This window comes from Homo sapiens, chromosome 16, assembly GCF_000001405.40.
Source record: "Homo sapiens chromosome 16, GRCh38.p14 Primary Assembly".
NCBI classification, from domain to species: domain Eukaryota; kingdom Metazoa; phylum Chordata; class Mammalia; order Primates; family Hominidae; genus Homo; species Homo sapiens.
In genome coordinates, this window is record NC_000016.10 from 33,767,962 (window position 1) to 33,790,738 (window position 22,777).

Here is a 22,777-nt window from a genome sequence, read left to right on the forward strand (position 1 = left end):
CCATCCCACAGCCATCACCCTGGTCCGGGCCACCAATAGCTCTTGCTCGGACACAGGCAGTCACCTCTCCAGGGAGCACCCAGTGTCCCTTCTGCCCTCGTTCTGGTCCGTCCTTCACCCACAAATGGAGAGTGTATTTTAGCATTAGATCAGTTCATGTCGCTCTCTCGCTTAAAACCCGCCCCTGGCTTCCACTGCCTGGCATGAGAATCACCACTGCCTGCCCCACGGGACTGGCCCTGCCACCTGCCCCATGCCCGCTCCCCTAGCTCATGGTCCCCCAGAGTCACTGGCCTCCACCATCCTCTCAGCCAAACCCCACCAGCCACCACTGCGTGCCACCCACCCACCCCGCCAGCCTCTCCATCACGTATTCCTCCTTCCCTTCTTTTGGGAAACTCTTTTCTTCTTGTTTGTTCATTTTATTTTCTGTGTCCCCAACTCGAATGGAGGCCACGCAGAACACTGTCTGTCTCATTCACTTCTGTGTCCCTGGAACCTAGAACCATGCCTGGCACACAGAACGTGCTTGATAGGTACTGAGACAGAGACATACAGAGAAGGAAAGAGGGAGAGAGACAGAGAAAGAGAGAGAAAATAAGAGAAGGGGAAGGAGAGATGGCGGAGAGGGAGGGAGAACCGAACGCTGAATCCAGGGGTTCCTCTCCCACCCCTCATGTGCCCATGGTAACAAGGGAGTCCCCCTCTTCTGACCCCTTGTTGTCAAAAAGTCCATCAAGCAAGAACGCCCGAGCCCCAGGCCCCCTCTGAAATTCCCAAGAAGGAAGCACCCCAAGAAGGAAGGCGCGCAGGACGCTGCTCTGGAGCCATCGGGTTCCCAGTCTGCTCACCACGCTCAAGGAGCCCCTTAACAGGAGCAGGAGGAGAAAAGACACCCAGCCTGGGGTTCCCCCAGGACAAGGCCATGCTGTAACCCAGGCTTGGTCCTGGCCCTGACCGTGGGAAGCCCACCCCACAGGCCCTCGCCCAGGCAGGCCTGAGGCCCATGCACCGCTAAAGGCCTGGAGAGGGGGTCCCACCGCAGCCTCACCTGGGTCCCCTGGGGTCAGGGTAAGCTGGGACAAAGGGACCACCGGTTGCTATGGGAGAGGGAGAAGGCACAACTTTCCCGGTAGAATGGGCTCCTGCTGTGCTCTGAGCCCTGGGTCACTGTCCGCACTCTGGGGAGGGAGGAGAGGAGCCTGGAGCCCCAAGGGCGCGGCTGGCAATAAAGGCAGATGCTCAAGTTGATGCCGTCCCACGCACTTGAGGCTGGGTCCAGGGGTGGCACTGACACGGCTGGGGAGCCCACTCCGGAGGTATGACCCGGGGATGTGCACAGCCACATTCCAAAGACACACGGGATGAGATCAGCCCAGGTGACCCTGGGACTTTGCCCTCTTCGGCAGGAGCCAGCCCTGTGCACCCTGTGTGCCTGTCCATCTGGAAGGCCCAGCATGAGAGGCCCGACCGTCCTCCTCACTGTGGCTCTGCCCACGCTCCTGGCTCCCAGGGCCGGGGCACCGGTACAAAGTCAGGGCTCCCGGAACAAGCTGCTCCTGGTGTCCTTCGACAGCTTCCGCTGGAACTACGAGCAGGACGTGGACACCCCCAACCTGGACGCCATGGCCCGAGATGGGGTGAAGGCACGCTACATGACCCCCGCCTTTGTCACCATGACCAGCCCCTGCCACTTCACCCTGGTCACCGGTGAGTACTGCCCCAGGATGGGGCCTGGGGGTGGGAGGGCCTGAGAAAATAGGTGGCACAGAGCCCTGTCGTGCAGGAAAAAGGGGAGAGGTCCTTGCTCCATGCACAGGACACAGCCAAGGGGAACATTAGGAATACCTCACCGTTGGTAGCAACAGATCTGGGACAAAGAAAAATGACCAGGGGGGTCCTTAAACCCGTGGCCACAGGCAGGGCAGCAACCCCAAAAGGCTTCAGGAGGAGGGGAGTGTGGCAGGCTCCCAGCCGGCTCCCACGGCTCCCCTCTCCTGCCTGCCCTTCCAGCTGGCTGTGTCAGCCTCTCCCTCTCCCTTGCATCGTTTCCATCTCCCAGCCAAGACCTCCCTGACAGATCTGCCCAGGCTGTAGACAATACAGACAGGTTTTTAAAAAGCCAAATATGGGGCCAGGCGCAGTGGCCCACGCCTGTAATCCCAGCACTTTGAGAGGGTGAGGCGGGCAGACCACTGGAGGTCAGGAGTTCGAGACCAGCCTGGCCAACATGGCGAAACCCCGTCTCTATAAAAACACAAACATTAGCCAGGCATGCTGGCGCATGCCTGTAATCCCAGCTACACAGGAGAATTGCATGAACCCAGGAGGTGGAAGTTGCAGTGAGCTGACATCGCGCCACTGCACTCCAGCCTGGGTGACAAAGCAAGACTGCATATAAAATATATATGTCTATACATATATTTTTGCTCCCGCAGCCGCGGCTTTTTGCCGCCGCTTTCTGCCGCCGCCCCTTTTTGCCGCAGCTTTCTGCCGCCGCCGCCGCTTTCTGCCGCCGCCGCCTTTTGCCGCCGCCGCTTTTTGCCGCCGCCGCCTTTTGCCGCCGCCACTTTTTGCCGCCGTCGCCGCCGCCGCGGCTTTTTGCCTCCGTCCCCGCCGCCGCCGCTTTTGCCGCCGCCCCCGCCGCGGTTTTTTGCCCCCGCCGCCGCGGCTTTTTGCGGCTTGTTGCCCCCGCCGCCGCGGCTTTTTGCCCCCGCCGCCGCTGTTTTTTGCCGGCGCGGCTTTTTGCCCCCGCCGCCGCGGCTTTTTGCCCCTGCCGCCGTGGCTTTTTGTGGCTTTTGCCCCCGCGGCTTTTTGCCCCCGCCGCCGCGGGTTTTTGCCGTCGCGGCTCTTTGCCCCCGCCGCCACAGCTCTTTGCCCCCGACGCCGCGCCTTTTTGCCCCCGACGCCGCAGCTTTTTGCCCGCCGCGGCTCTGAGGGCGGGAGCGGCACACTCGGCTGCCAGCTCTACCGGCGTCCTGGCTCGGGCAGCGCTGAGGGGCGCTCCTGGTCCAGCTCTCCCGGATCGGGGGTCCCTTGCCTACGCGCCGGCGCCCCGGGCTCCCCGCCTTGGCCGCTGCGGCGCTCCGCGCGGCCGCGATGTGAGAGAAGAAGGAGGGCGGTGGCGGGGGTGATGCGGCGGCCGCGGTGGGAGGCGCAGGGGCGGCGGCCAGCCGGGCGCTGCAGCAGTGCGGGCAGCTCCAGAACCTCATCGGCAGCCTGCGCGGGCTGCGCACCAAGTGCGCTGTGTCCAACGACCTCACCCAGCAGGAGATACGGACCCTGGAGGTAAGGGGTGTGTGGACCCCGGCTGGGCTCGAGGAGCGGCCCGGACACCTCCCTCCGGGCCCTAGTTCACTTCTGGTGGAGTTGCATCCTTGAGCTCGAGTCGCCCGGTTGGAGGCTTCTCCCTCCTGCACTCGCTGATGCGGCAGCCGGAGGACCCCGGTCCAGCCCTCACCTTGGGCAGGATTTCTGGGGCGGGTGCGTGGTGGGAACTGGGATAGAGGCTCGAGGGGCCCATGGGTGGGGTGGGCTGCGCGCGGACATCCCCTTACCCCCTCCCCCCCGAATTTCCATCTGGTCCAGCCCTCTCATCTTGTAGGTGAGGAAACCGAAGGCCTGAGGGAGAACTGACTTGCCAGGAACCCCTGTTAAGGAGAATTAACAAAGAGTGGTTATTAAAGGAGAACTGAGTTGGGAGTCAGACCTGGAGGCCCACACGCTTGGTTAAGACATTATACCACCTTGAATCTGGCATGCTGACTGAGGGTGAGCCACTCCATCCTCGTCTGATTGTGGGGTCTTGACCTCAAGGGGTTTCTTGCAGGAAAAAGCAAATAGGCTTGCTTTCCTAGCTCTGTCCAGTACCTTAGGGACCCTGAGGACCGGAGAGATTCTTGGAGAGCCATCTGGTGTATGTCATGGGTGGGCCTTTTTTGAAGGTCAGTCTGCCCAGTGGGCTGGCTCAGCCCGAATGAACTGTCTTGAATCTTTGGAGTTGTCTGTGTACTTTTAAGGGCTTCTCATCCTTGCACCAAAAGATCCCCTGGAAATTAGGTGGGAAAACCTTAACTTTTGTGGGGCCTTGTGTTTGTCTTAAAAGTTCCTGCACATGGCCAGGTGGAGTGGCTCACACCTGTTATCTTGTCCTGGATCCCTTGAGTCAAGGAGTTTGAGAACAACCTGGACAATATAGTGAGACCCCGTCTCTACAAAAAATAAAATATTATCCAGGGGTGGTTGTGCGCATCTGTAGTTCCAGGTACTACTGTGGCTGAGGTGGGAGGAGCACTTGAGCCTGCACTGAGCTGTGATCTCACCAGTGTACTCCAGTCTGGGCCACAGAGCAAGACCTTGACGCAAAAAAAAAAAACCAACAAGAAAAATTCTTGAAGATTTTGCATTCTGTCTCACTATCCATTGGTTTTCATGTCTAGATAATGTCAGAAATTCTTTACAATTGCTTCCAGAAGGAGTAGCCTTTTGATCTAGTGCACAGGTGTCCAGTCTTTTGGCTTCTCAGGGCCACATTGGAAGAAGAATGCTCCTAGGCCGCACATAAAATACACTAATGCTAACGATAGCTGATGAGCTTAAAAAAAAAAAAAAGGTTTGTGCATAATTTTCATGATACCCACCACCACAGATAGGTGGAAAAGTCCTTGTAGTCAAAGGGTTGGACACAGCTGATCTAGTGTCTTGTCGTCCATTTTGGCTTTCTCCCTGATTCCAGAATGCAGGTAGAGATGTAGAGACATGCTTTCAGGACAGCTATTGAGATAAAAAATTCGTTGTCATTTATTCCCAAGCACAGCTGTTTGTCATTTTCATTGAAAAAGTCTCCATTTAAACTGCTGTCACATATAAAATCTATTTATATAAGTCTGTATTTTTCTGTTGTCTTGGCCTTTGTGGGCAGTAGTGTGTTTTAACCGAGCAAACTGTCCTTCCAAATAATGAAGCTGAAGTCAGCCTACCTGCTTGCCATTTTTCTTCCCCTTCCATTTTTCTAACCTCAGGATAATTGTAAGAATGAATTAAGATTTGTGTTTAAGGCCGGGCACAGTGTCTCAGGCCTGTAATCTCAGTACTTTGGGAGGCAGAGACAGATGTATCGCTTGAGCTCAGGAGTTGAAGACCAGCCTGGGCAACATACTGAGACTCTGTCTTGTATAATTAAATTAAAATTTAATAAAAGAAGAGGAAAAGACCTGTGTTTCAAATTTAAAAAAAGGGGGGAAAGTGTAATGCAAAATGTGGACTATGCCAGCTATGATTGGGAAAAATAATTTTTCCTACAGCATTATCTGTAGACTTGTATTAGCAGCATACTGGTCATAAGCATTTTGCTTTCCTCAAATATGATGAGGTAAGCTACTTTAAAGTGTGGTGGGGCTTTCTTCTGCGTGGCTCCTGGAGGTGTTGAGTCCCAATTTAGCCAATTAATTTGGGTTTAGTTTTGATATGGATAAGGGAGACCAACTTCGTTCATGGTGCACACACAGTTTTGCCAATAAGGAGAAAAAAAAGCCACCTGAATGTTCCTACTCATTAGATGCTATCTGGAGAGCTCCTACCCCACCCCCACCAAGGCCCGGGCCCTTAAAAAGACTCAATGCAGCCTTTCTGTATCTCATACTGTATTCTGCAAGATGCTCCTGTGAAAGAAAGTTGTGCTGCATCAGCCGTCTCCCTTCTGAAGATCCCTGCGGATGAGGATTTGTGTTTTAAAGGTTCTGAGAAGTCCTGCAACAACAGTTCTCAAACTTATTTGTCCAGGGGATCTTTTCTTCCACTGAACGTAGTTGGGGAGACATGGCCTTAAGCCTTGAGCAGAGAAAGAGACAAGAAACTGTTGCCTCACTTACAACCAAGTGTTGTGTTTATGTTTTAGGTTTTTATGAAACTGAGGTGCTGTTTGAGGTTCTAAATCAAATTGGGTGGTTGAAGAGAGGCTGGTATCCCTGTAGACTTAGCCAGCCATGAGAGGTTGCCTTTTGTTGAAGGAGGTGTTTTACAAGGAAATAGGGTGTCTCCTGGGCATCGCATTAGCACTTAAATACATGTATCACTGAAATGAAATGAAATGATGAAATGATGAAATGAAATTAAATGATGAAATGAAGAAATGAAATGAAATGATGAAATGGAATGAAATGAGGAAATGAAATGAAGTGAAATGATGAAATGATGAAATGAAATGATGAAATGATGAAATGGTGAAATGAAGAAATGATATGAAATGATGGAATGAAATGAAGTGAAATGATGAAATGAGGAAATGAAATGATGAATTGAAATGATGAAATGAATGACGAGATGAAAAGATGAAATGAAATAATGAAATGAGGACATGAAAAGGTGAAATGAATTGATGAGATGAAATGAAATCATGAGATGAAATGAGATGAAATGAAATGATGAGATGAAATGAAATCGAGATGAAATGATGAAATGATGAGATGAAGTGACATGATTAAATGATGAAATAATGAAATGAAATGATGAAATGATGAATAGATGAAATGATCAAATGAAATGAAATGATGAGATGAAAAGATGAAATGAGATGAAATGAAATCATGAGATGAAATGATGAAATGATGAGATGAAGTGAAATGATGAAATGAAATGAAGTGACGAAATGCAAACGATGAGATGAAATGATGAAATGAAATAATGAAATGAAAGGATGAAATGATGAGATGAAATGATGAAAGGATGAAATGAAATGAAATGAGGAAATGAAATGATGAAATTATGAAGTGAAATGATGAAATGAAAAGATGAAGTGATGAAATGATGTTATGAAATGATGAAATGATGAAATGAAGTCAAATGATGAAATGATGAAATGGTGAAATGAAATGATGAAATAAATGAAATGAAATGAATTGATGAAATGATGAAATGAAATGCAATGAGATGAAAAGATGAAATGACGAGATGAAAAGATGAAATGATGAGATGAAATGAAATCATGAGATGAAATGAATAAATGAGATGAAGTGAAATGATGAAATGAAATGTTGTGATGAAATGATGAAATGATGAAATGATGAGATGAAATGAGATGAAATGATGAAATGAAAAGATGAAATGATGAAATGAGGAAATGAAATGAAATGATGAAATAGATGAACCAAAAATACTTATTCATTTTTTTTCTTGGCATCCTTCTAAGAGTATTTTAGTGAGGTTAATTTCTAAAAATAAATTGCTATTCAATGGCTATACAGTTGGCCTTTACACCACAGGGGTTTGAACTGTGCAGGTCCACTTAGCAAAACCAACAATTCTACATCTTTCTCCACACCCTGCCCAGGAAAAGGATGAGGATGAAGACCTGTCTGATCATCTACTTCCATTTAATAACTAGTAAATATATTTTCCTTATCATTTTCTTTTTCTTTTCTCTGGCATGTTTGTTAAGAATACAGTATATAAGACATATAACATATTAAATATGTGTTAATTGACTGCTTGTGTTATTTGTAAGGCTTACAGTAGGCTATTAGTAGTTAAGTTTTGGGGGAGTCAAAGTTATAGTGGATTTTCTACTGTGCAGTGGGGCCAGCGCCCCAACCTCCGTGTTGCTTAAGGGTCAACTGTACATGTTATTTCCTTTCCTGTAAGAGAAAAATGATGAGAAGGTCTTTTCTCCAATAAGTGTATTCAAAATGTAGCAGATTTGAAATGTGTTGGCGCCACCATTTTGCATCTCACTTTGAAAACTTATTATTAAAAATCGTACTAAAGCCTACCTTACTTTTCCAACCTTAGAAAAAATGTTGCAAAGAAAAGGGGTGAATCCATGCTAGTTTGCACTGAAATTTGAAATTATCTTTTAAAAATATATTTTTACTTTAATTACTTCCAAAATAGAGATCAGTTGCATACAAATGGCAGGTCACTCTAATCCACCCTATGACTGCACTTAGATTCATGAGGAATTGTGCCAACTAGAAAGGGCAGAGAAGAGGAATAGAGTGCTCTGCGTCTTGAAATATAAACATGCACATAGCCACATGCTTTGATTCTGTTATCACTGGGTACTTACTGCTAGGAAGAGGGCACGTTTGTGTATTTTTATGCTAATTATTATCCAAGTTGTTAATGATTTAGGCTTTCAGAACCATATAAAGATTTTTTTCCTTTCAGATATAAACTATCTTGCATTGTTCTTCTGACCATATGAGGGATAAATTTGCCTAAACATTCTTCAGACCATAATATGATGTCCATATAAATGCCAGTAGCAAGAGTAGAATCAACCACAACTGCCTTTGTAATTATTTAAAGCATGTGTGCCTATAAGTAATTGGCATTTTATATAATCAAGAATCTTTGATATAATAATCTCTCAACTATTTGAAACATGGCTCACATATATTAATTTTATATGCAAATATATATATAACATCACTGTATATGAAACTAAATTTTGGACTTTAGAACAGCTTCTTAGAATCTTGACTTAAATGTCCACAGTAATATTTGACTTAAAAAATTTAGCACACTGTCACTATGATGAAAAAAATTACTATAAAATTATTTAAAAAATTTTTCCACCCTAACATTTAGAACATTCTCACATTTGTGGTTAAAACCTATTGTGATTGTTCTTAGAATTTAGATAAAAAATGTTCCAGAAAGTTTGAAGAGAAGCACTTTAGTCGATTTTTATTTGTTCAAGCATGAAGAAATGGCATTTCATTGACATTTTAAAAACTATTCAGATTCCCTCTTTGAATTGAAGTGTTTCAAAGATATCTTATTTTAAAATACCAAAATAGGAATAGAATATGAAGGGCTGGTTATGAGTAATATGATACACTTTTTTGAGAGGATGAGATTACAATAACAATACCTCCTCTCATAGAATAGCCAGCAAGTCTCCACTAAATAAGAGTGCCTTGATTTTATAGATGTTTAATCATGGATATTGAGATAATGCGAACGATTTGTAGACACAGGAGTTTATTAAAGAATTATATAATACCTTTCAAGTGTTGAAATTAAGCCTGCATCCCCACAATTTTCAGAGGTGCTGATGCCTAATAAACTCAACCCCTTGCATGCCAAAATTGGCTTAAAGCCCACCCATTACCCAAGCTACACTTCAAGCATCAAGGTTCAAAAATGTAATTTTAAATATGCAAGAGTTTGAGGAATTCACTACTCACACTTTCTTGAACAGTCTATCCAAGTGCATCAAGCAAAATGTGAGTAAAGAAATTTTGACCAAAGGATTGATAGTAATGTTGAAAACATTTAATAGTAGATCTAAGATTAAAAGGTGAGAGTGAGGGTGAGAAGAGTGTATGAATGCTTTGTGTTCTGACAAAGAGAATGTAGCACCCATGTCCTACCTGCTTGGTTGCATTGCCAGTGCCCACGGTAGGCTATTTTATCCAGGTTTTTAGTTTTTTTTGTTTGTTTGTTTTCTTTTGTTTTTTTTTTTTTTTTTTTTCAGGAGAGTTAGTCCAAAACCAATAACTCCATAACTGGTAGAATTGGAAGACTTTAATAGTGCTTAACATTTTGTACATAGCTTTATAACAGTTTTCTTTTTCTTTTTTTTCTGAGAGATTCTTTTCAATATACCCCATCATGGTTGAACTCAAAGTCATTGCTTATTTGAAATTTACAACTGCTGACGTTTTGTAACCTTCGCATTCCAGGTAATTGGTTTTTTGTGCATTTTCTGTATTTTTCTCCATCAGTCTACCTAGATATTTGTTAGATTTAATATTTTAATATTTTTCTGAAAAAGTGAGCTTTTGCGTTTTTAAATATATACTCAGTTGCTTTAATACTGCTTTTTCATGTACTGGTTCCTCCTTTTTTTTTTTTTTTTTTTTTGAGATGGAGTCTTGCTCTGTCGCCGAAGCTGGAGTGCATTGATCTCTACTCACTGCAACCTCCACCCGCCACGTTCAAGCAATTCTCCCACCTCAGCCTCCCGAGTAGCTGGGATTACAGGTGCATGCCACCATGCCAGGCTAATTTTTGTATATTTAGTAGAGAATGGGTTTCACCATGTTGGACCAGGCTGGTCTCGAACTCCTGACCTCAGGTGATCCACCTGCCTCGGCCTCCCAAAGTGCTGGGATTACAGGCGTGAACCATGGCACCTGGCTATTTCCTTCATTCTTTATGTTTATTTTACTGGTTTTATCTCTCTCTCTCTCACTGTTTCTCTCCTTCTCATATTCACTTTGCAGTTGTCAAATAGCCCAGGTGATGTTACAGATTTACTCCTTATAAAAGGAGGCATTACACATTACACATGCATCTTAGTGGCCTTACAAAAGTGTTTGGTTCATTTGTATTGACTATTCACCTTTAAAATATTTCAATATTCATTAAAATAGCTTCCAGCCAATATTATTAGACCTATGTTTCTAGCTTTCTTTTTTGTATTGATATCTACCTTCATTGCTGTTTGTTTAGGAAATATATTCTGTGTCACGTTATTTTCGTGAAAATTGTTTGAATTTGTGGTATGGTCTAGAAAATGTTAATTTTTGTAAGTATTCTGTATGAACATGAAAATAACATGAATTATAATATTCATGTTCCTTATATAACATTTGCCCTTTTTAAAATCCACTAGCTTCTTTTAAAACTTACTCTTTTAATTTTTTCTTTTATCTATTACTGAAAGATGTGTGTTTCAAAAGTCTATAATGATTTGGGGGCTTATCCATTTCTACTTACTTTCTGATATTTTTGCTTTATATAATTTGACTCTCTCTCTAAATACGTATATGTGTGAGTGTGTGGTGTGTGTGTATATATGTATGTATGTATCAGGCTAATGCACATTTAAGTCATCACATCGTCTTAATAACTTAAATCTTTTATCACACTGGTTAGACTAACTTATTTTAATAAATGTTTCTAACTTACATTCTATTTTGTCTACATAGCAAGTTTTTAAAAAATTATATTCATGTAGTATGTTTGTATGTATATCATATATACACAGTATCTGTATTGTTTGAACTTCAAAGTTTCTGTAAATTAATATATTAGTTACCTCTCTTGTAACTATGATAGAGATGGACTTTTTTAATTTTGCCAATCTTTGTATTTTAACAAAAACATTGTCTACTTAGGTTTAAGTTAATCTTTGATCATTTATACTTAATTTGTTTTATTAATTTGTTGTATATATATATATTGTCTCATTTTCTCCTATTAGTTTCTGTCTTCTTGTTTTTAAATTATGACTTTTATTTTTATTGTTTTCATAGATAACAACAGAGAAATGCATAACGTCCAGTGAATTTATTAAAGTTCCAAAGTCGGTCACGTGCAGTGGCTCACGCCTGTAATCTCAACACTTCGGGAGGCCGAGGCATGTGGATCACGAGGTCAGGAGTTGGAGACTATCCTGACCAACGTGGTGAAACCCCGTCTGTACTAAAAATACAAAAATTAGCCAGGCATGGTGGCACGCGGCTGTAATCCCCGCTACTCAGGAGGCTGAGGCAGGAGAATTGCTTGAACCTGGGAGGCAGAGGTTGCAGTGAGCCGAGATGGCACCACTGCATTCCAGCCTGGGCGAAAGAATGAGTGAGACTCCTTCTCAAAAAAAAAAAAAAAAAAAAAAAAAGAGTTGCAAAGTCATACTCACCTTTCTGCTCTTGTCAGACAATTAAGGGGTCTTTGAATACTTCAGCCCTAATAATTTGCTTCCTAACATACATATTGCAGTGCTTATCTAATTTTAAATATATTTTTGTTTCAACACCTAATTTTTTATTTAAATCTATCTGTATGTTTACAATATATTTTGCTCTGTGTTCATTCTTTGATTTCAGAACTTCAACCTTTCTGAAGCATGTTTTCAGTTTCTTTAGTGGAATTCTGCTGGAGGCGTTTTGTTTTTTGTCTCTAAATATGTTATTTAGCCATAGGTTGATGAATATTTTTCTTGGTTGAGAATTTCAGAATGGCATTATTAGTCTTAACAAATAATATTGTTTATTTTACCTTTCATTCTTTCTGATTTCAATATGATTAAAGGTAATTTGATTTTTCTAGTGCTAATTGAAATATTTTTCCCTTCCTGATTGTTTACTATTTCTCTAGGAGATACATAGGTGTAGGTTTATCTCCACTGTAGCTTGCTTAGCGTGCATGGAACTTTTGAATATGCAGATTAGTGTCTTACAAAAGTCTAGAGAACTTTCAGCCAAAATACCATCACATATTGTCCCTTCCCAGTTCCCTTCTTCTATGAGAACACTCACTAAACACATGCTACATTTTCTCACTGTATCTTCCATGTCTCTTAATGACTCTGTCCACATTTTGCATTTTTAAAAATTTTCTGTAATGCATTCTGAAATATTTATGAACTCTCACCATGGCCATGTCTAATCTGATGAGTTCATTTTTGAGTTTTTAATTTAAAATACTATATTTTTATGCAAACTACTTTTCAAATTTGCTACATCAATTTTTTAGTCTCCTAAAATATATTCTTTTTATTTTAAATTTTTTTAAAGCAAATGTGCTTTATAATCTAACAGTGATATTTCTACTAATGAACCTTTATGGATCTGTTTGTACTCTTTTTCTGCTTTCCTTTCAAATGTTGGAATATCATTTCCTTGTGTACTTAGATGCCTTTGAATGACAAATATTTATTTTTCTCCGAAAATTATTTTTGTGCACTTTTGAGTATTAGTAAGAAGAAAACTTGCCAAAGAGAATTTGAATTTTTTTGTGAGTCTACTAAAGGCATCACCATTCTGGGACCACATTATGTTAATTCTTGGTCTAAAGGTGTTTGGATGTATGTTCGGACTGCACATTTAAACAATTTTTTAATTAATTGCTGTAAATCATTAGTGATTGAGTTTCTTTAAATCTGTCCAATCTCAAGTCATTTTTATTTGCCATTTCCAGGGAATGTGAAATGGGATTAATTTACCTCTGATTCTTCTTTATACTGAGGATAGAAATTTTGGTCCTAGCTTTAGGGAGGAGCTCCTGTGTGATGCCCTATCTTGGGAAACACTATGTATTTCTTTACTGTCCTATGTGATGTATGACAGTAGGAATCTGCACTCATTCATTTTGGTACATGTCCGTAGGGCAAAATCAGTTTCGGTGTTTAGGTATATTTTGTCTGCTCCCTGCAGTCCCATGGTTTTGAACTTATATTTTACTTTTTTTTTGTGAACATACCAATGCTTCAATTTTTTTCCAGTAATATAATCAACTATATTATGAGAAAGAGAAAAATTTTGAGAAAACACAAATTTCATGTTTTCCTACTCTAATTGGCTTTTACATAAAAATACAGGTAAAATTTATTTTTGCTTTTTTGCTATTTCTGTTTTGCTATTCTGTTTGTCTATGTCTTCTCCACATAGACACAATTAGGGAATTTTGTACACTCTTGTGCCAACTGCTTTGATAGTAACAAAATGTATTTCTCGAACTCCTAGGTATAAAACTCAAGTATCCGCAATTTAAATTCTTTTTCCCTCACTTCTATTATGTTTCCGGTCTCAATAGAAATCGATGCCAATCCAGAAATACAAGCATTATTCTAATACTTCTCACACATTACAGAGATAGATTAAATTTTCTAGATCTCCTTAAATACTATCATTTTTCACTACTTTTATCTTAACTGTTAAGTTCAACATTTTCTATAATATTAATATATTGTGAAAATTTCCTTACTTTCTTATTTGTCCCAGGTTAAATGTTTTGCAGTCTCTACCTCACCCTGTGACGCATAAACACTGTACATGCTGTACAAATAATACATAGTTCATGTGCTTAGAGATTGCACAATTTTTATTTGGTTGATAATAGCTAATGTTTTCTTCTTCATTTTCTATTTCCTGATTTTTCTTTATTTAGTATATACTACATTATCATAAAAATAAGAACGTTTTACAAACTAAAGCAAAAGCAACCCTAGGAATAAAATGCACAAATAAAATATGTAAACATACAATTAGATGTACCATGTACCCCTCTAATTTATTTAGACATTTAATTTTAGTACGATTTTAATTAAAGTCTGTGTATTACCTGTCATCGTCTTAGTATTTTTTATATAACAAATTTTGTAAATCAAAAAGTCTCAATGTCATTATAAACTATCTTGGCAGAGGTTGATCTCCAAGAATAATTCCTCTCCCAAATTATACCAATTAGAATTTCACTATACCATAATTCTTTTAATCAGTTTCAGAGGAATAATAAATTTCAAAATTGTTCAAGGTACTTGTTGTAGTTCAAGTACATTTTGACATGTGTAAAACTGTAGACAGACTGATATAAACATATTCTAATTGACTCAAAAATATAGATTTTAAAATGTCGTGTCAATATATACATGTTCTCCTTGTGAAATAATTGCTTTTTATTCTCTGGATAGAATACTTTAATCTTTAAACCTTCAATTCACTGTTAAAAACAAAATATTACATAAGGATATGCTTATAAAAATAATTCACAACTAGCTTTTCAATTCAGAAATATATGTGAAAAATCATCAAGCATCTAATGGATTTCAAGGAGAAATGGGTTAGTAATTTATTCCATATGTCTTGATTTTTCCTAGACACAAGGCTTCCTTTAAAATAATTGTAGGCATTTAAGAAACCATGTAAACTAAAAAGAAGAAATTGTGACACTGCCACTTAGGTTTTTTAAATCTTTGGACATGAATCAATATATTTTTTAATTTTATCTTAATTAGACATTGTGAGTTCACCATCTTCCTGTCAGTATAGCATCCAAGATGATTATCATAGATTACAAGTTCAACTATCAACTGTGTTCTGAGAGTTTAAAAAAATAAATGAATGTATTTGTTTTGGTATTCTTAAAGCAGGAGTGAGGACACAGTGAAAGTGAGACAAGGAAGAGAGAACAAAATAAAACAGGAAAGATAGAAAAGCCAATACCACACTTGTTAAGAGGCAAGTTCCTGTGTTAGATATCTGGGCTTAATTCTCTGGGAAGCTATGTGGAACATGCCTCAGAATTACATCACTGAATCCAGGGAGATTCTTCTTAGTTACCCTCACCTTTTCTTCCCACTTCATGCCCAGTAACAAGCTCCCGTGCTGCTAGAGAAAGTCCTCAGCTAGAAACAGGTGCAAATTCTGGAGATGAGACCTTGTAGAGTGTTAAGAATGATTTTCTTCCCAGCAGCTACAGGTGAGGAATAGGGGCTGGGCTATTAATACACCTGCTACAAATCAATATACACCTTATGCTCCTTTTGGTGATCGACAATGTATTTTAAAATATTAGATGATCAAGAAGGGCTGCAGAAAGGAGGAAACAGAAACAAACAGCACACCTCTTGGTTTATTTTTATTCATTTCATCAGTGTCAAGGAAAATGTGTTGGGAGTTCCTGGCATAGAGAATGTCACAAAGACATGTTTTCAATAGTGGTGCTATCCCTAGGGCAGAGAAGACCCAGAGAAAGCCCAAGTGGCTGCTGGAACAAAGTCAGACACCGTGCCACCTGTCCACACTTCTTGGCTCTGCCATCATGCTGAAGATCGGTTGAAAGGACTCCCTTCCCTACCCCCAAAATTAAAAGAGCACAAACTGAGAAACTGAATGTAGGAGACAGCAGTGGATTATGCTGTTCTCAGGGGTCATCTCAGGTTTGGAAGCATTCTTTCAAACTAACCCATCTCAGGCCATCTGCAGAAAAGAAACGTGGTACCTAACTTTTTTTCTTGTCAGCATTTGGTAAGGGTGTTTTATTGACCAAATATGTTCCCACAACCTAGTTTTTTGTAACTAACTGAATATAGTAGATTTTTAAATTTTATCATCAAAATCTATAGACAATTTTTTATTAAAATAGACTCCACATCTATGTCCTGCTTTTCTTCTTCTTATTAATTACAGTGCTGTATAAAAGAACAAGACTTCAGAATCAAGAATATCTTGTCTCTTGGCATTGAATTTATACAAGGTGCTCTTTCTTTAATGCTGTCTCAAAGGACACATTTTTACTCATTAAAAAGGAAGATCGGAATCTAGTTGTATGCACTGCTCCAACATATTAATAATTAAAATTAGGAGGTAAATGTGGTCAAAGCTATAGAAAGACTTGAGATGTCATTTATATTGATTACTGTATAGCACTCTACAAACAGAAATTGTTAAATAATAGTTTATATAAATATTTTGTAGCATTTCAAATATTTTAGTGCCTGAAGTTTCTCCTCTTATATAGTTCAGATTATCAATTTGGAGACTTACTCCGCTAGTTAAAATGTTTTTAGTCTCGTTTGAGTATTATATAAAAGCAATTTTCAGTTAAATGTGTTCCGCTTACATAAAACATTACAAATTAGTGAGGATTTAATTACATTTTCATGTTCCTGTAATGTCTTTAGAAGATTTTCATATTATTACCTATCAATATATGTATGCTTTGTCAAAGAAAAGTCAAACATATATATCATTGAAATCGAAAATTTTTAAAAGTACTTATTAATTCTATTGAAAAACCACATCCATAGCAACAATTACAATATAGTGAACATGTAAATATATATCCTATGTCTATTTTATATATAAGCATATATGATTAAAAATATAGTTAATAATTTTTAAACCTAGTTTTATAAAGTAAAAATTAGTTAACTTCTGATGATTATTTGTTAATGAAGATATAATTATTTTGATTTGGGTGATTTTAAATAAAAATATTAAATTACGTGACAAAGTTTTTTATAAAATGTTTATGATTTTTACATTGGTTTTATCACTTTATTCCACTATTTTATTTTAAGATGACCTGCCTTGTTTAAAACAATCTTAATTAAATTAAATTCCATTTTGTAAAAAAATTAACAAATGATTTGCTCTATTATACATTGCGTTTATAAACTGAGTCAGTATCTCAAGATTTGATCCCCATTATCATCATCTGTGGCCCTATTTGTTTTATAAATGTATTGTCTTTTTCCATGCCTGTCACGTCTCTATTGCTCATTCATTTTCTCTTTGTCCCTTATAGGGAGTTGCATCTTAAAAAAGCACAATAACCTCCTCATTCTTTTTCACACAGAGAAATGTTTGTTAAGTAATTAAAGTGTAGATGATGATACAAAGAGCTTGATTAAATTAGATGTCAAAGTACCCTTGTGATTCACAATATGAATGGTATTTAATTTCTTTGAAATCAATAATTGCTGAGTGACATTAATTAATGCCAGTATTTCAGAAGTTGTTCTAGTTAGTGAAATGTATACAACATGCAAAAGTTTCAGAACTCTGAAGGGCAACATTATTCTATAATTAAGAATTCACATTAATTATTGGGGAGAAATTATTAAGAATTAATGACTGAGAAAATGATTTTATTTAGAAAATTATTTTGTGCATGAGCATTACTGCAAGTTTTGCAAGAAACATAAATTTAAAGAAACAATTATGTCCACAAGGTGAATTTAATAACATCTGATATTTTCCATGATTACAGTTTTATTTGGTAAATCTTTAAATGCACATCATCTAAAGATAATAAATGAATCTTGGAAATCTTGTAGGTAAGGGTAAATGTTAGGATGCAATTGGTAACCTAAATGTTACCAATTACATTTACAACACATACAATTACATTTTCACACACATGCACACACTCACTGATACACGTGTGTATATATATACATGAATTTACTAATTGGTTTTAACTAATTATTATAAGAGCCAGTAGGATTGATATATATTGTTGAACCTGAAAAATATTTATTATATACATGTTTAAAATACACAAAGAAATAAATAGTAATTAAACTAGGCATTTGAAACTCTACTAAAATATAAGCTGTGAACATTTTGTGATCATTACAAATTCTTACACTGAATAAATTATTTTTATACTATTAATATGTTGGATACATGTGTACATTTTTTACAATGTATTATTTTATTTTTGTCATAGAGTCATGTCATGCATAATAACATTTCAGTCAAAGATGGATTACATATACAAAAGTGGTCCCATGAGATTATAATATATATTTTTACATACTTTTCTATGTTTAAGTATGTTTAGATACATAAACTCTTACCACTGCGTTCTTATTGCCTGCAGTATTCTGTACAGTAATGTAGTACACAGGTTTGTAGCCTAGGAGAGAGAGGCTATACCATTTAACCTAGACGTGGTAGGCTGTACAATCTAGGTGTTTGTAATACTCTCTGTGATGTTTGCAAAATGATGAAATTGCCTATGGATGCATCTCTTAGAACGTATCCCTATCATTCAGTGATGTGTGACTCTACTAAAATGCTCAATGTAAGTTTCAATGCCCTCCATAAAATTGTTGTACTGTGAAATACAAATCTCTCACCCATGGCCTGAATATGTTTACAAACTAAGCAGATCATGGGAAGGAGAATGTGCTGGCATCGCTGGGATGATTTTTCTCACACTACATGAATAATATCTCCAGACTTTGCGAATATGAGCCACTTGCATAGAGTTAAAGTAGGCATCTCTTTGCTGGGAAATTTATCAAATGGCAGTATGAAGGGTTCTTAAAAGATACTTGTTTGTTTGTAGCAGGTAGGCCTACACTGGCTCATGGCAATGGTTGAGGTTGCTAAGATTTGGTGGAAGGAGGCAAAATGAAATGGCCACTTATATGGTATATGGATCACTTGTTTCTGTTGAGTTACAGATTCAGCTGACTCTTTCTCCCAATGTTAGTTATTCAGAGAAAAAAAACATGATAGTAATTTTGGGGTGACAAATACAATATTTGATGAAAGCAAATTTATTGAGGGTTAGACAAACTACAAGATACTTTAGGCTGCAAAGTCAACACAAGACTTCTGGCCCAAATTGTGCAGAGTTTGGGTCCAGCTGCAAAGTTCAAAAGAAGAGGCCACGTAAGACTATTCTCACTTCTGACACCAACTGCCAGTTCAGGGGTTTCCCCAGAACACCCTCAGTTTCAAGAATTTACTAGAAAGACTCACGGAACTCATTGAATGCTATTGTACTCATGGTTTATAATAGAGAAAGGGTAGAAATTAGGACCAATCAATGGAAGAGACATATCATATAAGGTGGAATCTAGGAGGATTTTGAATGTTAAGTTTCCATTGTCTTCAGGACATATTACCTGTCATTGTTGTACAGCAATAAACATGGCGTACTACCAACCTGGGGAGCTCACCTGATGCTAAAAAGATACTATTTAGTTAATGAAAAGGCAAATGAAAGGATGAGATAAGATGACCTTCCACATTAAGGCACTGGAAAAAATAGCAAACTAAACCTAAAGCAAGCAGAAGGAAGAAAATAAAAATTAGAGAAATTAATAATTTATAATAATATTTGTTAGTATAATTGATATTAATTCTTGACTTTTTTTAAAAAGAGAAATATTCACTTCCCAATTTATTCTGTGGGGCCAGTGTTACCTTGATACAAAAGTTAGTCCAAATAGCATAGAAAAATAAAACTACTATAAGTATAAATGCAAAATCCCTTAAAAAAATACTAACAAATAAAATCTAGCAACATATAAAAGAATTATACACTATGACAAAGTGAAATTTATACTAGTAATCCCAGGTTAGTTTAACAGCCCAAAATCCATGAAGGTAATACATCTTATCCATAGAATAAGAAACAAGAATTGCATGATCATCTCGATAGATTCAGAAAAGACATTTAACAAAATCTAAATGCTTTAATGATTAAAAATAAAAATAAAAACTCAATGAACCAGGAATAGAGAACTTTCTACACCAGATACATGGCACCTGTGAAAAGCCAACAGCAAACATTCAACTTAGTGGTGAAAGAAAGGATAATTTCCCGCTATGGTCGGAGATAAGAATAAGATATATACTTTGACCTCTTCTAGTCGACACTGTGCTAAAGATTTTATGCACGGCAAATCGGCCAGTAAAGAAATAAGAGTCACCCATATTGAACAGGAGGAAATAAAACTTTATTTGCAAATAACATTCTTGTATATAGAAAATTTTAAGGAATCCACTGAATGATAGAACTAGTAAATTATTTCAGCAATATTACAGCATACAAGATAAATATACAAAAATCAATTGCACACATCTACAATGAAAACCCCAAAATGAAATTAAGAAAACACTTCAATTTACAATAGCATCAAAAAAAGAAATAATAATTAATTTGGAAAGTGTGATACAATATTTTACTCTGAAATTTAAAAATTATTGTCTAAAGAAGATCTAAATAATTAGCAAATATCTTACAGCCATGAATTGGAAGACTTAATATTGTAGTACTTTACAATTTGAACTACAGATCTGATGAAATCCCTGCAAGTATCCCAACAGACTTCTGTCTAGAAACTGACAAGCTGATTCTAAAATACACATGGAATTGTAAGGGACTCAAAATAGCCAAAATAATCTTGAAAAAAGAAAACATGTTAGGATAATTCACACCCCCATTCTCCAAACTTTACTGCAAAGCATCAGTAATCAAGACAACACAATACCGATGAAGGAAAAATATATAGATTGATGATTCTACACATAAATGAGATCACACAACATTTGTCTTTCTTCGTCTGGCTTATTCCACTTAGAATAATGTTCTCTATGTGTTGTTGCAAATGTAAGAATTTCCTTGTTTTTAAAGGCTGAATAATTTCACTTTTATGTAGGTATAAGCCACATTTTATCTGTTCATTCATAGATGGATATGGACTTCTTTCCCAAGTCTAGGCTATTAGGAATAATCTCACAATGAACATATAGTTGACACACTCACTTTATTTTCTCTAGATGTATGCTCAGAAGTGGGTATACTCTATGTTCAATTCACTGAGTAATCTCCATGTCGTTTTTCATAATGGCTGTACTAATTTACATTTTTTTCCAAACCATACATGGATAACTTTGTACCACATATTCAGGTATTTGTTTAAGTCTTGAATCCATTTTTAGCTGATTTCTGTGTATCATGTGAGGTAAGGTTCATTTTTTTTCTTCTGCATATGGATGCCCAGTTTTCACACCACTTCTTGAAGAGACTGTCCTCTCTCTATTGTCTGTCCTTGGCAATTTGTCAAAGATCAGTTTATTGGGAAGGAATGGGTTGATTTCCAGGTTGTCTATAATGTTCCATTGGACTCTATGTCTGTTTACATGTCAGCATTATACTGTTTTGATTTATATTGATTTGATTTTGAAATTATAGAATATGATATATTCAGCTTTGTTAAATTGTGCCCAAAATTACTTTGGCTATTTAAAGGCCTTTGTATTTGATATAACTGGAGAAAATTTTAATATTTTTGTAAAAACATGCCATGGAGATTATTTATTTTATTGGCATATAATAGATATACATATTTTATGGGAACATGTAATATATTGATACATTTATAAATGTGTAAAGAGCAGATCAGGATTGGTATATCTGATTGGTATATCTATCACATTAAACATGTATATTCTCTTTATGCTAGGCACATTTGAACGACTCTTCTAGCTATTTTAATGTGTACATTAGATTATAGTTAACTATAGTCACCTTACTCATCTATGAAATATTTAGATTTTATTTCTTCTATATAACTATATATCTGTATTCAGTAATCAACCTCTCTTTATTCTCTTCTCCCTTGTATCTATCCAGGCTTCTGGTAAAAACCAATCTACTCTCTGTCTTCAGGAAATCCAATTTTTTAGTTTTGACATAAAAGTAAGAAGATGCAGTATTTGTCTTTCTGTGCTTGGTTTATTTAACTTAACATTAGGGCTTCCACTTCCATTCATATTGTTGCAAATGACAAGATATCAACATTGATGGCTGAATAATATTCTATTGCATACCTAGATCATATTTTTTTATCCATTTGTCCACCTGCAGACCCTGAGGTGCTTTCATATCTGGGCTATTGTGAATAGAGCTGCAAAGAACATGGAGTGCACATGCCTTTATGAGGTGGTGATTTTATCTTCTTTAGAACATACCCAGAATAGGATTTGCCACGTCATCAGGTATTTCTATTTTTCTTTTATTTCGGAGTCTTCATACTACTTTGCACAATAGTGGAAATACAAATGGAATAACCATTATAAAAAGCAGTTTCAGTTTTGAGGTATGATCCAAAACCAAATAATGTTTCCTCATGATTCTCATTGGGAGTCTCTAATGAATCTGGTGGAAATGTAGGAAGTTTTCTAACCTCGTTAAGAAAATTATGAGTTTGCACCTTTTTTCTTTTTGAGGCTGGAAATTGGCATGATTCAAGTTGCATACTCTTGGCAGGTTTCAGAATGGTACAGCAGAAATCATAATGAGAGGGCAAGAGAGAGAATGAGGGAAAGTCAGGCAAACAAAGAAAAAAAATAAATTTCACAAGAGGAGAAACTGCTGGATATCAGTGTTGGGTTTTGGTCACAGACACATCTGTACTGAGTGAGGAACCATGAAGTCAAGGGAGGAGTCTAGAACTTGTTCACCTGAAGCATCAGCATATTTCTCCGAGGCACCTAATTGCCACCACATCACAAGGGTGATGAATATTTGGATGCCATTAAACATGAGCTCCCAGGAAGTAATCATGTTTCCATGAAATTCAGTTAAAATGCCAAGGGTGTGTCCAGATCATTCATGCAAAAACACAAAATTTGCCTTTGCATTTATGGTTATCTAGAGACAAAGTGCATTGAGACTTCAGCAGGTTTCAGAGATCTGTTAAGTTTGGGGTTCCCATAGGAGAGCACCTTTTAGTAAAGGC

General features: G+C 38.2%; 1 pseudogene across 2 annotated transcripts; it reads left to right on the plus strand.

Annotated features, from left to right (window-relative positions):
• Window positions 1-1,415: 1,415 nt before the first annotated feature.
• Window positions 1,416-16,314, plus strand: ENPP7P13 (ectonucleotide pyrophosphatase/phosphodiesterase 7 pseudogene 13; annotated as a pseudogene). 2 transcript variants are annotated; one of them, NR_130771.1, is made up of 3 exons: window positions 1,416-1,710; window positions 9,594-9,686; window positions 11,265-16,314. The product of NR_130771.1 is annotated as an ectonucleotide pyrophosphatase/phosphodiesterase 7 pseudogene 13, transcript variant 1 (transcript). The 2 variants fall into 2 exon arrangements; NR_130772.1 differs by lacking the exon at window positions 9,594-9,686.
• Window positions 16,315-22,777: the final 6,463 nt, after the last annotated feature.